Genomic DNA, 14,649 nt, shown 5'->3' on the forward strand with positions numbered 1-14,649 from the left:
TGATTCTCTGCTGTGTCCAGCACATGGACTTTCAAAATAACTGTGCACAGTATATTTTTAAAAAATTAATTGAAATGAAGGCATTGCAACCCAAGTATGTAGACATTTTTTCTAACTGTGGATAATGAGTATATCACCAAAAAAACCTGTATTTGTGTTTTGACTTGTAATTTTATCTGTCCCCAAAATATGGTCATCAGCTTGGGTATATTTGCACCTGCCTAAGAAGGGCATGCCTTCACCTGAGATTCCACAAGGAATGCAGATCATGGCCTTACCGCAAATGAGTGTTAATTTTTCATCAAAAGACAGAATACTTTTTTAAAGATTATATGTGTCTAATTTTTTTTTCTTTCAGCAAAATCTTAAACATACAAAAACAGATACTGTGTTTCATTGTCTAAAGGAAGAGACAGCTCTGTGTGCCATGCTGCACAGCAGAACTGGTTTAAAATGTTTATCTTAAAAGACATCTGATCACTTATTAGTTACATAGTAAAGCTATAGTGACATTACTGATGAATAGCATATATTTCTCTTCAAAGTTAATATAAAGCATATCAAAATTAATTAAAAATGTAAGTAATATTGAATATGATACTCTTCTGCTCCAGGTTATGACTTGAATTTATATTAGTTTGCATGTTAACTCTGTAAATGAATAAATAAGTCAAGAGGTTGAACCGCACTAGTTTACTTAATCTTCATATTCTGAAGAATATGCCAGGTATATGCCATTTCTTGATTATTTTTGAATTATCGACTCTTTAACATTTACTCAAATATTAACACGTTTGTTATTTCTGTCATAAAAATGCTTTATTTTATAATATTTATAAAATTACCGTACACTTATTTAAATATATCCATTTGTAATTCTAACATATTTTGCATTATGTTATCACATCTACAATAAGAAACAATTTTCATAATGCAAAAATAATAGTACCTCTTTCCAGAATCTAATAAAATATATAAAAGAATACTGATAGTTTGACTTTACGTACACTGGTATCATAAATGGATAAGCAAGATATTGTAAGTGGGGAAACCTTTGGTTATAACTTACAACTAAAAATTGTATTGTTCACACAGAGAAAATTTGGGTAATGAAATGGGGTACCATTAATAATTATTTGGGAAGAAGTAGCAGCAGGGTAGACTGGGACCTAACAGTAATTATAAACTCTAATTATTGTGGTGTTGTGACAGCATGATAAGAAGTAGATTAATTCTAATTGACCTATCAAATCCTCTATGTTCATGGTCATAGAAATACTCTGATTTCAATGTAATAATTAATAATGTATAAAAAGGAAATGGAATCTTTGGTTTAAGCCAGTGGTAGAATATATTTTAAAAACTAAAAGAAAATTATGTATTAATTTTCTACTGTACGATGAAAAATAAATACAATATTGTTAACAAATTTTCTTGATTTTTTTAAAGATTATGTAGAATTTTTAATCGAGAGTTAATTTTGTCTGCAGCATAACTCCTCCTCAAGGCAAAATACTTCTTATGATCAGATCAGAGTAAACATCCAGTGCACACAAAGTAATTTAAAATGCAAATAGTTTGTTATTAAATACCAGTTATGCATCAGTAGGAAGGACATTGTGGGAGTTGTTTGGAAGATGGAAAAAGTGATTTCTTTTATAAGATAGATCCTCTATTTACATAGTATTTTTCTTAGAGAAATTCAAATATTTTTGACCTAACATAAATCTATACATAGTATCCTTTTGGGTGAAAGTGTGTATTAATGTCTCTCATTTTATGATGTAAGAAAATGAGTCCTGGCTTTAGGTCACTGACTGAATCAACAAATACTTTAGTATAAAAGAGCAACCCTCAGGCTACTTTCCCCTGGATACCCTGTGTTTGTCAATTCTACTGAGATGTAAGTTTAAATTCCACCCACAAAGCAGATCCTTAGATAGGCTCTATCCTTGCTATTTTAATAGACATATAAATAGTTTTACAGTGAGACATTGGCCCTTTCATTGTATAACTCACCAAGAACAAACAAAGATGGGTCTTTGTGAGCTGGGCTTGTGACTACTCTGAGTGGGGACCCCACAGTTGTTTAAACTAGTATAGACAAGTAAGAGTCCCTTCTGGTCAGGGCAGAGTAACTTGCGTCTACTAAAACTTTTAGGACTACCCCACAGACAACAAGTATAACCTCTACACAGAGTATAAAAGTCAGTGTTGAAGACACTAGGGAGTGACCAAAGAGAGAAGGAATGATTGACCCTTAGAGGAAAGAGAATGTATTGTAGGAGATATTGGTTTATAGTGCTTTCCATCTTAGGGTACTGCCAGATCATAACTTGATGACTAGAGCTAAATCAGAAACTGGCATTCTTAAGGGTTTGTGGATTCAAAGAACAGAGTTCAGGACTGAAAAGTGCTTGGAAGTTAGTGTGATGGTGGGGGGTGGTGAGGAAGGGGTAATACATTGATGCTGTAGTTTGAATATATGACCCTTCAAATCTCATGTTGAAATTTGATCTTAATGTTGGAAGTGTGGCCTGGTGGGAGATATTGGGTCCTGGGAGAAGATCCCCCAGGAATGGCTTGGTGCTGTTCTCACTGTATTAGTTCCCACAGGAACTGCTTATTAAAAAGAGTCTGGCACCACCCCCTTCCTTCCCCTCTAACCATGGGATCTCTGTACACACTGACCCCCGCCCCCCCAACCCCGTTCCTCTTCCACCAAGAGTGGAAGCAGCCTGAAGCCCTCACCAAGGTGATAGTGATGTCAGGGTTCTGGTATAGCCTGTGGAGCCAAGAGCCAAATAACCCTGTTTTCTTTATAAATTGTCCAGCCTCAGGTATTCCTTTATAGCAACACAAATGGACTAAGACAATGGAAAAGAGAGAGACACAGAAAGAGAAACCCCAAATCTTCAAATAAACTAGAAACCTAATTGTGCACCCCTCAGGGGGAGCCCAAGGCCTGGCAGACACCAAAAGCTGGAGGTTTAACAGAACTGAGCAGAGCTTTTAGCTGCGGCCCAAAACAGGAAATAGATTTGGAGTTTGACTACAAATATGTTAACAGCCTGCTAGAAGAAAAAAAAAATCATCATTCTTAAAAGGAAGAAAACAGAATTCAGAGGAATCTTTATAACATATTAGCTAAAATCTTTAATGTGATACAATTTTCGAGGTATGCAAATGTGACACTAGTCAGGGAAGAAAATCTAGTCAATAAAAATAGACCCCAAGATGAGACAAATCTCATAATTAGCAGAAAAGTTCATTGTATCAAATAAAAATATTTTATTTTCGTAGAGACAAAGTCTTGCTATGTTGCCCAGGCTGGTCTCAAATTCCCAGGCTCAAGCAATCCTTCCCATTCAGCCTCTCAAAGTGCAGGGATTACAGGCATGAGCCACTGCACCCAGCTAAAACATATCATCATAATGATGGAACATATGAGAAATCTCAGCTGACAACTCAAAGGTATTAAAATGAGAAAGTCCTGGATGGAAAATTACAATATCTGAAATAAAAAACTTATAGAATAGACAACAGAAGAATGTAGTGAGTCAGTGGATTTTCAAAATACATACTATTCTAAAAACAGAGAGAGAAAAGATTTCAAAAATATAAAAAGAGCTTTGGTTAGCTATTGGACAATAGCTAATATTCGAAATCCCAGAAGAAGAGGAGAAATAGAATATGGCAGATGATATTTTTGACAAAATAATAATCAAAAGTCTCTCAAACATTAAGTTCCAAGGAGCACAGCTAACAGAACAAGATAAATGCAAACACAACTACACTTAGGCATATTCTAGTAGAAATACTGAAAATCAAAGATTAAGAAAATATTTTAAAAACACCAAGAGTAAAAGAAAACACATTACTTACAGGCAAATGCATGACAGAACTCACTGGATCAATATCTCAAAATGCTGGGAAGAAAAAAACGGTAACCAGAAATTCTACACAGAGTGAAACTACAAAACAAAAATCAAAGCAAAGCAACAATTTCTGGATATGCATAAAAGATGAAATTATATGTTGCTAGAAGATCCATAGCACAAGAAATGCTGATATCCCTCAGGCTGAGGGCTATTAAACAAGATGGAAATCCAGAATTATAGAAAGGAACAAAAAGAACAAAAATGAGAAGCATACAGGTCAATACAAAGACTGTATATTCTCCTTCTCTTAATTTTCTTAAAAGACATATGATTGTTTAAATAGAAACCATAGCACTGTATGGTAGGTTTATAACTTACTTAAGTATAACTTATATGATAACAATCACCCAAAGGAAGAGAGTAAAGGTCACTATTTAGGGGTAAGGAACTTACTTTTTTGGTAAAGCCATAGATTTTCATGTCTAAGTAGAAAGGTGTTAAGGAGTGGTATTGCAGGGATGGTAATAATGGAATCAACCTGTAAAAATTAGAGCACACTCATGTGATTTAAAAGCCAATACATTATTTAAATGAAATTTTTCTTTAAATTAATCTAGAAGATGGTAAGAATAAAGGAATAGAGGGAAAAAAAAGAGAAAAAAATAACAAATTGGTAGATTTAGAACAAATATGCCAATAATTAATAAGTATATCTGGACCAAAAACCACCATTAGAAGTTAGAGTGTTAGGTGAGATGTTAAAAAAGAACAAGAATCTGCTGTAATGTTTGTAGAAGAAATTCACTTTTAATATAAGTCACAGATAGATTGAATGGAAAAAATCTTCTTCAAATAGCAAACAAAAGAAAATGAAAGTGCTTCTATTAATATCAGAAAAAAATGTTGCTTTAAGATGAAGACTAAAATGGGAGATAAAAAGGAACATTTAATAAGAATGAAAGATATCGCTTGTTAGCATAACTATCTTAAACATGGAAGTAACTAGTAATAAAGCTACAAAATACACAAGGCAAAAATGGAGAGAATTAGAGTGATAGACAAATCCAAACTGATAATAAAGATTTTAACACCTTTATTTCAATAATTTGTAGAATGAGATAAAAAGTCAGTAAGAATACAGAATATCTAAGCCACATTGTTAACCACCTCAGCCTAACTGAAATTTATTAGACACTAAACGAAACAACTGCAGAATACACATTCTTTTCTGATGCCGATGAAATGTTCACGAATTTAGACCATATGGTTGGCTGTAAAACAAGTCACAATAAATTTCCAAAGATTGAATGCTTACAGATAATGTTATCTGACTACAATGGAATTAATAAAAAGGCAATGAGAAAGAGATATTTATAAAATTCTCAAACATTTGGAAGGTGAATAAAGTATTTCTAACTAATGCATAAGTCAAGGAAAAAAATAGAAGTGATATTAGAAAATGTTTTGAACTGAATTATAATAAAAATACAAGATACCAAAACATATGAAATGCAGCTTAAGTGGTATGTAGAAGAAAACTTGTATCTTTAAATGCTTATAATATAAAAGAAGGAAAGTTTCAACTTAATCATCTTGTTTCCACGTTAAGAAGCAAGGAAACATGACCGACCTGAAAGTAAGTGAAAGAAAATTAAAAAAAAAAAAACAGAGCAAGACTGAAATACAAAACAAACAGTAGACCAAAATAGTGAAGCAGAAATTGATGGATTGAAAAAATTAGAAAAATTTGTTAACCTCTTATCAGACTGATGAGTCAAATAACAGAGAAAACACAAATCTCCAGTCTTGGGAATAAAAGACAGAACATCGCCACAGAAATTAGACATTAAAAGATAAAAAGGCAATACACACAATTTTATGCTAATACATTTCAAAATGTAGGTAGGATATACCATTTACCAAAATGATCACAAATGAAGTAGAAAATTTTAGTTATACTTTTATATATGACCATTAAAGAAATTGATTTTTTATTTTAAAAAAATGGTGCTCACAAAAAGTGAAAGAAAACAAATGTCCAGGTCCAAATGCTTTCACTGTTGAATTCTGTTAAACATTTATGGAATGCATAATACCAATCTTACACAAATTTTTACAGAAAGGAGGGAATGAGGGAATTATTTCTAACTCATGTAAATGTTTAAACTTACTGTCTGAGAATAAAAATTAAGGAAAGAAAGCCTTAACCAAGAAAGAAATCCCATCATTTGCAACAACATGAGTGAACCTAGAGAACCACTATGATAAATGAAATAAGCTAGCACAGAAAGACAAATACTGCATGATCTCACTTAGATGTGAAGTCTAAAATAGTTGAACTAATAGAAGTAGAATCATGGTTGCCAGGGACGGGGTGATTGAGGTGTTGGTCAAAAGATGCAAAGTTTCATTAGATAGGAGGAATACATCCTGGACATTTATTGTACATGATGCCAATGGCTAATGTTAATTTACTTTATACTCTAAAGTTGCTGAGAATAGGTTTTAAATATTCTCATAACAAAAAAAATGATAAGTATGTCAGGTCTATATCCTGAAGAACAATTTTTACATCCATATAATGATAAATGTGCTATTATGTTCGAAGCATTATTGTTTGTAAGCCAGAAAAACTGCAGAAAACATCAAACTATATTAATAGAGAAGGAGTAAAAAAATTAATTGGGGTGTATTCTTTGTTCTTTAAGAAATTGTTTTAGAGACACAATCTTGCTACGTCACCCAGGCTGGAGTGCTGTGGCACAATCATAGTTCAATGTAACCTGAAACTTCTGGGCTCAAGTGATCCTACCGCCTCAGCCTCCCAATTAGGTAGGACTACAGGCGCTTGCCATCGAACCCAGCTAATTTTTTTTATTATTATTTTTTGTAAAGACGGAGTCACTGTGACCTCAAACTTCTGGGCTCAAGTGATCCTCCTGCCTCAGCCTCCCAATTAGCTAGGACTACAGGTGCTCGCCATCACACCCAGCTAATTTTGTTTTATTATTATTATGTGTAAAGACGAAGATCTCCCTATGTGGCCCAGACTGGTCTTGAACTCCTGGGCTCAAGCAATCCTCCCAACTTGGTCTCCTAAATCATTGGAATTACAGGCATGAGCTACCATGCCTGGCTATATTGTAATAAAGCAGTTAAAATTAATGAGTCTTGTATATATTAACAAACATGTATACATATTCAAAATGGTATATTGAATAAAAAACAAGTTATAAAAACATTCATCGTATGGCTTACTTTAATTTTTAAAACAAACTGAAATACTGTATATTATGTATTTACACATATAAAACAAAAGTATAAACTGTTGAAGATAAACATCAACTGCATTGTCATGGTTACATCTTGGAGGTATGAAATAGTATAGACAGAGATCCTTAATTTGGGTCTTTGGCTGTTCGATTTCTTAAAAAAAAATACTCACAAATGGGATAAAGTGCTTCCATTTGTTAAATTTGGATCATGTGTGCTTAAGTGTGAGCTAGTACTTGGTATTTAACACTTTCCTCTATATTTACATATTTAGTATTTTTAAAAATCAGACCAAAGGAGATATATATTCCATTTGCTTTCATTTATGTACAAGATGAAATTATTTCATCTAGAACACAAAATAAGCTGAGGATGTCTGACTTTAAATATTTCAAGTAATATTTTTGCTAGTTGTTTGTTGGTATTCCAGATACATAAACTTTTCTTTTCTTTTTTTTTTTTTTTGAGACGGAGTCTCGCTCTGTCTCCCAGGCTGGAGTGCAGTGGCGCGATCTCGGCTCACTGCAAGCTCCGCCTCACGGGTTCACGCCATTCTCCTGCCTCAGCCTCTGGAGTGGCTGGGACTACAGGCGCCCGCCAGCACGCCCGGCTAATTTTTTGTATTTTTAGTAGAGATGGGGTTTCACCGTGTTAGCCAGGATGGTCTCGATCTCCTGACCTCGTGATCCGCCCGCCTCGGCCTCCCGAAGTGCTGGGATTACAGGCGTGAGCCACCGCGCCCGGCCCCAGACACATCAACTTTTCTAACAGTACAAAATCAAGCTGTTTTGAATTGATTTACTAGGAGAAAGTAAACGGAGCTAATTTATTCAATCATTTAAGGCACCTGCTATGATTGGTGACTTAGTTGAGTTGTAAAATACTGTAACTTCTGGGAGGTTGGGGGAGGTTCAGTCTTATTTCCCCCCAGCTGAGAATTATCTACAACCTTTAACTGCATCAAAACATTAGTTTATACTTCGGGATCAGTTTCCAGCTTAATAAGTTCACATCTGTCTTACTAAGGAGGAGCTGAAAGCAAGGTATAATTAAAAGATAGTATTCAGAGAGAAATTGATAGCTGTGGTTCACCATTTCCTTCACATTTTTATTGGAAAAAATATTCTATTCATATAGGAAATATCTATGAAAATATTTTAAGATTATACAGCATTTTGTAAAATCAAAATGCATTCCTTTGGAAAAGTGAGGAAGGAACTTGCCTAAAGTAGCTTACAAATTTCACCTGTATTGTCAGAGAGAGACACCTTTCTTTCTCCATTAGAGATTATTTTTTAAAATATGGTTTTCAAGATGTCCCTAAGATGTACTCCAAGTTAATGTACTATATTTTTATAATAAAGAGCATGAAGAGAACTTAAAGTTAGTTTAGTACATACATTAATATTTTTAGGTGAGGAATCCAAGATCTAATAAAATTGCCAAAGTTTTATAAGATGCCCTGATGAAATTTAAATGTGCAAAGGCCTAACTTCCTTCTACTTTAACTTCTTTGCACTGTTTAAGAAATCAAGGAACTGTTGTTATCTTCAGATATCTTTACTTTGTTGTCACTTTGTTTTTCCTCAACACTTCAAAAATGTTAAGATTCTATATTTTTATTGAGAAATATCCATTTATCTTTAGAACAGGAATGCATCCAGATAAAGAGAGCATCATATTTGCTGAGAGCATTCACAGCATCTCTCTTTTTGATCTTTTAAACAAGCCTTGGCTTTACCTTTTCATCTTTCCTCGAGAGACCTATTTCATCATTACAATATCAAAAGATCCATCTTAAGTACCATAAAACTGTGGTTCTGAGTATATGGATTTATTCACATATGAAATATACTTGCTTGTGGTTTTCAAAGATGTGATGGCCAATGTTTCTAGAGATTTTGGTATGCAATTTTCCAGTAATAAAATGTCATAATGTTCTCTTCACAGATGCCAATTACACGTTTATTATTATCTTCCCTCTGCTGTGCTTTATACTCATTACCATAGTATCTATTAAGTTTGGACATTTCCTGACTTTTCTTTTTTAAAGCTACTCGTCTTCCACAATGTAAATTGGGCCTCCCACCAACCCCCATTGCCAGAAAGCTGAACAAAGTGAATCCCTTATTTCTATATGAGTCAGGTGTACATCTTTATGTTAGAACAGTGATCTGTAAAAGCTTAAACTAATTTATCTACTTCTGCTAATTATTTTGGGATAACAAAAACGTGCTAGCACATAAACGATACTTTCATCTTGGTTCGTTCTGCTCTTCCTTATAGAAATTATTAAAACTTAACTCTAAGGCTTAGTACAAATTAAAGTTAATTTTTCCATGCAAAGTTTTAATATGACCTTATTCCTGAAATTTTTGACCTGAACTAATAAAATTTTTTAAATAATTATACTCAGAGTTTTTATATGCTACTTTTTATTTCTTCAACATTACCATTATGAATTTTGCCTTAGAATACACATTCCTTCAGGAATTTAGATGCACAGGGATGCATGTGGATAATGCCATGAGCACCCTCTGGGCAGCAGTTCATAGAGCGGAGGAAAACAGATCAATCATTATTGAGTCTACAGAGCTTCCACATTAGTACAGCCAATTCATTAGATATGATCCCAACCATTAAATTTATTAGATATGATCCCAACCATTAAAAAGACAAATTTATAAGCTTCTTATATTGAGAATCAAGAAAAAAAAACAAAAAGAAAGCATTCCACTGCACAGTTACACAGTGCATGATTCAATTTCAAAATTCTAAAATGAGTGATCTATATGAAGAGGGTATTTGATTGTGTTGTTACTTACTGTTCATTTATTAGTTTTCTGGCTTCGTGGAGAATTATCTGCCTTCTCTGAGTATTGATTTCATTGTGCGCATGGTGAAGATATCGCCTGTTCTACAAGGGAGTAAGATTGAGTGAGATCCTCTAGGAGGAGGCTCCTAAAATATTTTACCCCTGCTAAGCCATGTGATTCATGTTGAAAGATTTTAAGGAGAAGCTCCTGCTTGATTGATAGGTATAACAATTTCTCTTTCTTTGCTATTAAACTTCTACATTACACAAATTTACACATGAGAGTGTTTAATTCCTAGGCTGGAATTTTGCATTTTCTGTAATTTTTGTGTTAACCAGAGGATTTTGAGACCTGTGGCAGAGGCATTCTCTGCCTCAGGAGAAAGGTGGACATAGACTCAAATAAAATAAGTCAATTGAATCTCTAAATAAGTTTTAAAATATGTACTAGGGATACTAACCTGAAATCCAAGATGCTTTCAATTTGCGAACACCACATATTTGACAGAAAAAAAATTGTGAACTTCTAAATTGTTTGCTTGAAGATAGCCTTGGTTTGTATGGGCTGCTGTCACAAAATATCAAAAAATATCACCGTCTGGGTGACTTGAACTACTAATATTTATTTCTCACAGTTCTGGAGGCTGGGAAATTCAAGAACAAGGTGCTGGCTGATTCAGTTCTTGGTGGGAGCTTGCTTCCTGGCTTGTAGACTTCATCTTTTTTTTTTTTTTTTATGTGTCTCTCATGGCAGAGTAAAATTTCTCTTCAGTCTGTTCTAATAAGGGCATTAATCCCATCATGAGGATTCTACCTTCATGACCTAATTACCTCCCAAATGCCTTGCCTTCTAATGCCAGCACATTAGTGTTTCAATAAATGAATTTGAGGGGAATATAATTCAGTTCACACTGAATACCAAGAGTTAAACCTGGTAGGTTTGGGGCATAGCTTATTACATAAATCAATAATTAGGAAATGGTAGTAACAATTAATAGTAACCTTTTTATGTGAAATGTTATTGTCATTTTATAGCTAAAACTTGCATAGTACTGTATATACTATTTGCTAAGTACTTTATTAAAGCTTTACATATATTAACTTATTTAATCTCACTACAATCTATGAAGTGAGGGCCACTGTCTCCCCATATTACAGCAAGAAGAGTTCAGTAAATTTGCCTGAGATCATAGAGCCTTTTAGAAAAAGATTGAAAAGCCAGTGATCTGATACTACAGTCTTAATTACTACATTTGACTGTTACAACAGTGTTTCTGGCTCTAAAATGACACAGAATTACACTAAGAGTGAAGAAACAAGGACTAAAGGCTTAAACAACTCCCTGAAAAGGGCTCTAGACTTCCAGATCAAATTCCATGGTGGCACGGAGCCTGTGGCACATGAGGAGCATTATGGACACATTGGAGGGCTGAGGAGAGACCCCAGGTTTTCCCCCTCCAGTGCCTCAAGAAATTGCCCTGACCTATTCCACCGGTGTATATCACCTGTGTGGTTGACTTGGGCTACAAGAGTAGCCTAAGGGATGAGGTATAACGGGGAGAACATGGCATGCAGAAAATTGATTAGCAAAGCAGGGAATGAGCTATGCTTCTACTGAAGCCATTATGGAACCCTCTCCAAGACTTTGCGTTTTAGGGCATTGACATGGTGTGTTGTCAGTGCACGTTCCTATTACTGTTTTATTTTCCATATCTCAGCAATAGGAAAAATGAGCACAGTGCTCAAGAGGACTGTGTAACAGGTATCAAAATGAAACCCTCTAGGTGGCAAAATTCACACCATTCATTATTCCTAATCCTTCTGCTATGCTTAGAAGGGAGAAGGGGACCTAGACTGTGTTCTCGTGCATGTTGGATTACATTACCTCAAACCTGGATGCAAACTGCTACTTATAAAATGTTAGTGCTTGCTTGCCAATGTCCGATATTTCAAAGCTTGTAAATGTGCTGAATGCAGAATACAGCTAACTAATTCAAATCAGAACATTTTCTCAGAAAAGTTTCACAGTTTCTTGGGATTCTGCATTGTGTTTGAGCATACACTGAAAAGTGGGGACTAAGAAAAAATTGTCTTGTGGAAATCATAGATGGGTTATTTCTATGGATGTGTGAAATGCCAAGGAGTCATGCCGTTGGAACCTCTCGCTTCCTCCTCCAGCTGCATCAGCAGCCCGGCTTCTGTTTCATCCAGGAGGAATCTGTAGTATGTAAACGCAGAGCCATGAGAGCCATCAGAAAGGCTTGTCTATTTCCTTAGCTGTAGGTGCATTTTATTTAAAGTTTTCTAGCTCCTTCTTCTCACCTCTGTCCCATTTTAACTCCATTCATTTTAATAATACTTCTTGTTTCTTCTACTTCTTCCCCTGTCCAATAAAGTTTGGAACTTGTTTGTAGCACCTGAAAGATAAAATACAGTTTTATCAAGAACAAAATAGTTTCTCTGTTAATGAATATGCTATGGCTATATACATATTTGTGTGTGCATGTAAATATATCTTATTACTAGCACACCAAGGAAGTTGTTTAAAAATTAACTGTTAATGTAGTCTTCTCAATGTGAATATAATTAGAAGTTGTAATTTCAACTAAGTTTGTGTCTGTCTATCCACACAGAGAAGAAAACAGACGCAAAGCAATAATGCTAATACTTCAGGCAATATACTTTTACTTAACATGCCCATCAGAAAAATTCCTTACTAAAAATAATAAAAGAGATCATAAGCGGTGTAATAGATACTGAATTCTTCAACAGTATAACTCTTTGTTACATGAAGTTACTTACTTTTTAGCATTAAGAAGGTCCTAAATGGGCCTTAAGAATGTAAAAATTCTCATTGCTTAGAAATTTTCAGTGATTTGAAATCTTCAGATATGTCCTTACCTTGCTGGAGAGTTTTAAAATATCATGTACATACATATGTGTATATACATTTATATATATACGTATTTCTAAATATATATATTTACATTGCATATACACATATGTGTATTTGTATTTATATATGCATATATGTGTATATACTATACACATTTATACACATAAATACATAGTATAGTATATATGTAATATATATCTGAATAACATAGAAATTATTTATTAATTAGATTTAGAAATACATACATATATACATAGATTTAGAAATACATACACACACACATATATTTCTAAATCCAGGCTCTTTTATAGGATGTCTTATGTCCCTATGGGAAATATGGGTAGCAGAAGTAACTGCAGAGACCTATTTAGTCAGCTTCTGAGTTACCCAAGGTAAGAAACTTTCTATGAGATGCTTTGTATGACTGCTTTAAACTTTTTTTTCAAAACTACAGCTACAGGTTTTAAAGATTTCTTTGAAGCAACTGAAGAGTGAACTTTAATTCATGTTTTTTAAACAAAGGTTATATGAGACTTACAGCAGTCTTACAAAAGGAGAATATCAGCAAGAATTGCACATTGCACTCGGAGTGTAACTGACTTTCAAATTTCTCTACAGGTATTATTTCCCATGAATAGGAACAAAGAGCAAAAACAGTTAAAAAAGCATATTCAAATGTGTGCATAAAGAGGCATGGTAAATGAATACTGTTTAGTTTGCTGACATAATTACTTGAATGTAATTTTTATGAGTCGTAGAAATCTTGGCATTTTCACTGAACCAGATAATTAGACTCTGAATAGAACAGGGTCAGAATAATTAATACATCAAAACTAGATGAACTTTTTCTAATTATTTTTATTTAATCTCTATTATAATTATTGTTATACTCTGCTGAGCACGATTGCCTCATGTTCATAGATTTGAATGCAGCCTTATAGTTGCATCCTGGGACTTTGTGGAATATTAACAAACCATGGCCTGTGGAAATTAGAATGGTGTCGTTTCATGATGGAATTCTAAATTGGAATTTCATATTTTTCTATATAGTTGCACAAAATTTGTTCCATAATCATCAAAATATGAATTGTAAAACAAAAGTCTACTTTTCTTTCAAGTTACACTTCTTCAAAGTTCAAGAAAAATGATTTCTCAGAGTTTTTTTTAAAGGCATGTCATCAGCTATTCAATTCATGTGAAATTTTCTGAAAGGTGATTGCATTACATTTTTCATTATTTGAAAGTTTTTAATATCATGATAAATCTTAATCATTTTAAGGCGAATGTATCAACAGGCAGTCGAGATCATTACCAACTATAATTAAACACTTTGAAATTCATGTTAGGAAGTAATGGTGTAACTTTCCGGTTGGGATGATAGCTACTTAACTGTGCCAGACCTTTAAAATAGCCATGATAATGCAGAAAAATAAGTTATGACAGCCAATGAAACCAAGAAGACTAATAAAATATTTTAAAATCTCAGGGCTGAAAGATTACATAGGCCAGTTTAATAAGTGACAGGAGGCTAATCCATGTTTGAATATCTAAAATAGAAATGCTGTAATATAGAGAGGAAGCTTCAAAAAAGATTTTATCCTTCAAAACAGTATCCAATAAAGACTGTTGTCCAAGGCACCAGTGAGAAAGCTTGAGTTCTCTCTTAATTCTTGGTCATTATTTTAGAGCTGGCCAAAACTGCCTTCTCCTCATCTTGTCATTCTGGACTCTCCATCTCTACTCTATGGAAGTCCACAACTTCTTTCCGTACAGGACTGAAAGTT

General features: G+C 33.9%; 1 long non-coding RNA gene across 1 annotated transcript in view; it reads right to left on the reverse strand.

The window, feature by feature from the left end:
- Positions 1–10,705: 10,705 nt before the first annotated feature.
- The window catches only part of LOC101928272 (uncharacterized), a 98,228-nt gene continuing 94,284 nt past the window's right edge, over positions 10,706–14,649 (reverse strand). Inside the window, exon 5 of the long non-coding RNA NR_120635.1 lies at positions 10,706–12,386. This is a non-coding gene — a long non-coding RNA (uncharacterized LOC101928272). The remainder of the gene's footprint in view (positions 12,387–14,649) is intronic.

This window comes from Homo sapiens, chromosome 10 (assembly GCF_000001405.40).
Source record: "Homo sapiens chromosome 10, GRCh38.p14 Primary Assembly".
Lineage (NCBI taxonomy): Eukaryota > Metazoa > Chordata > Mammalia > Primates > Hominidae > Homo > Homo sapiens.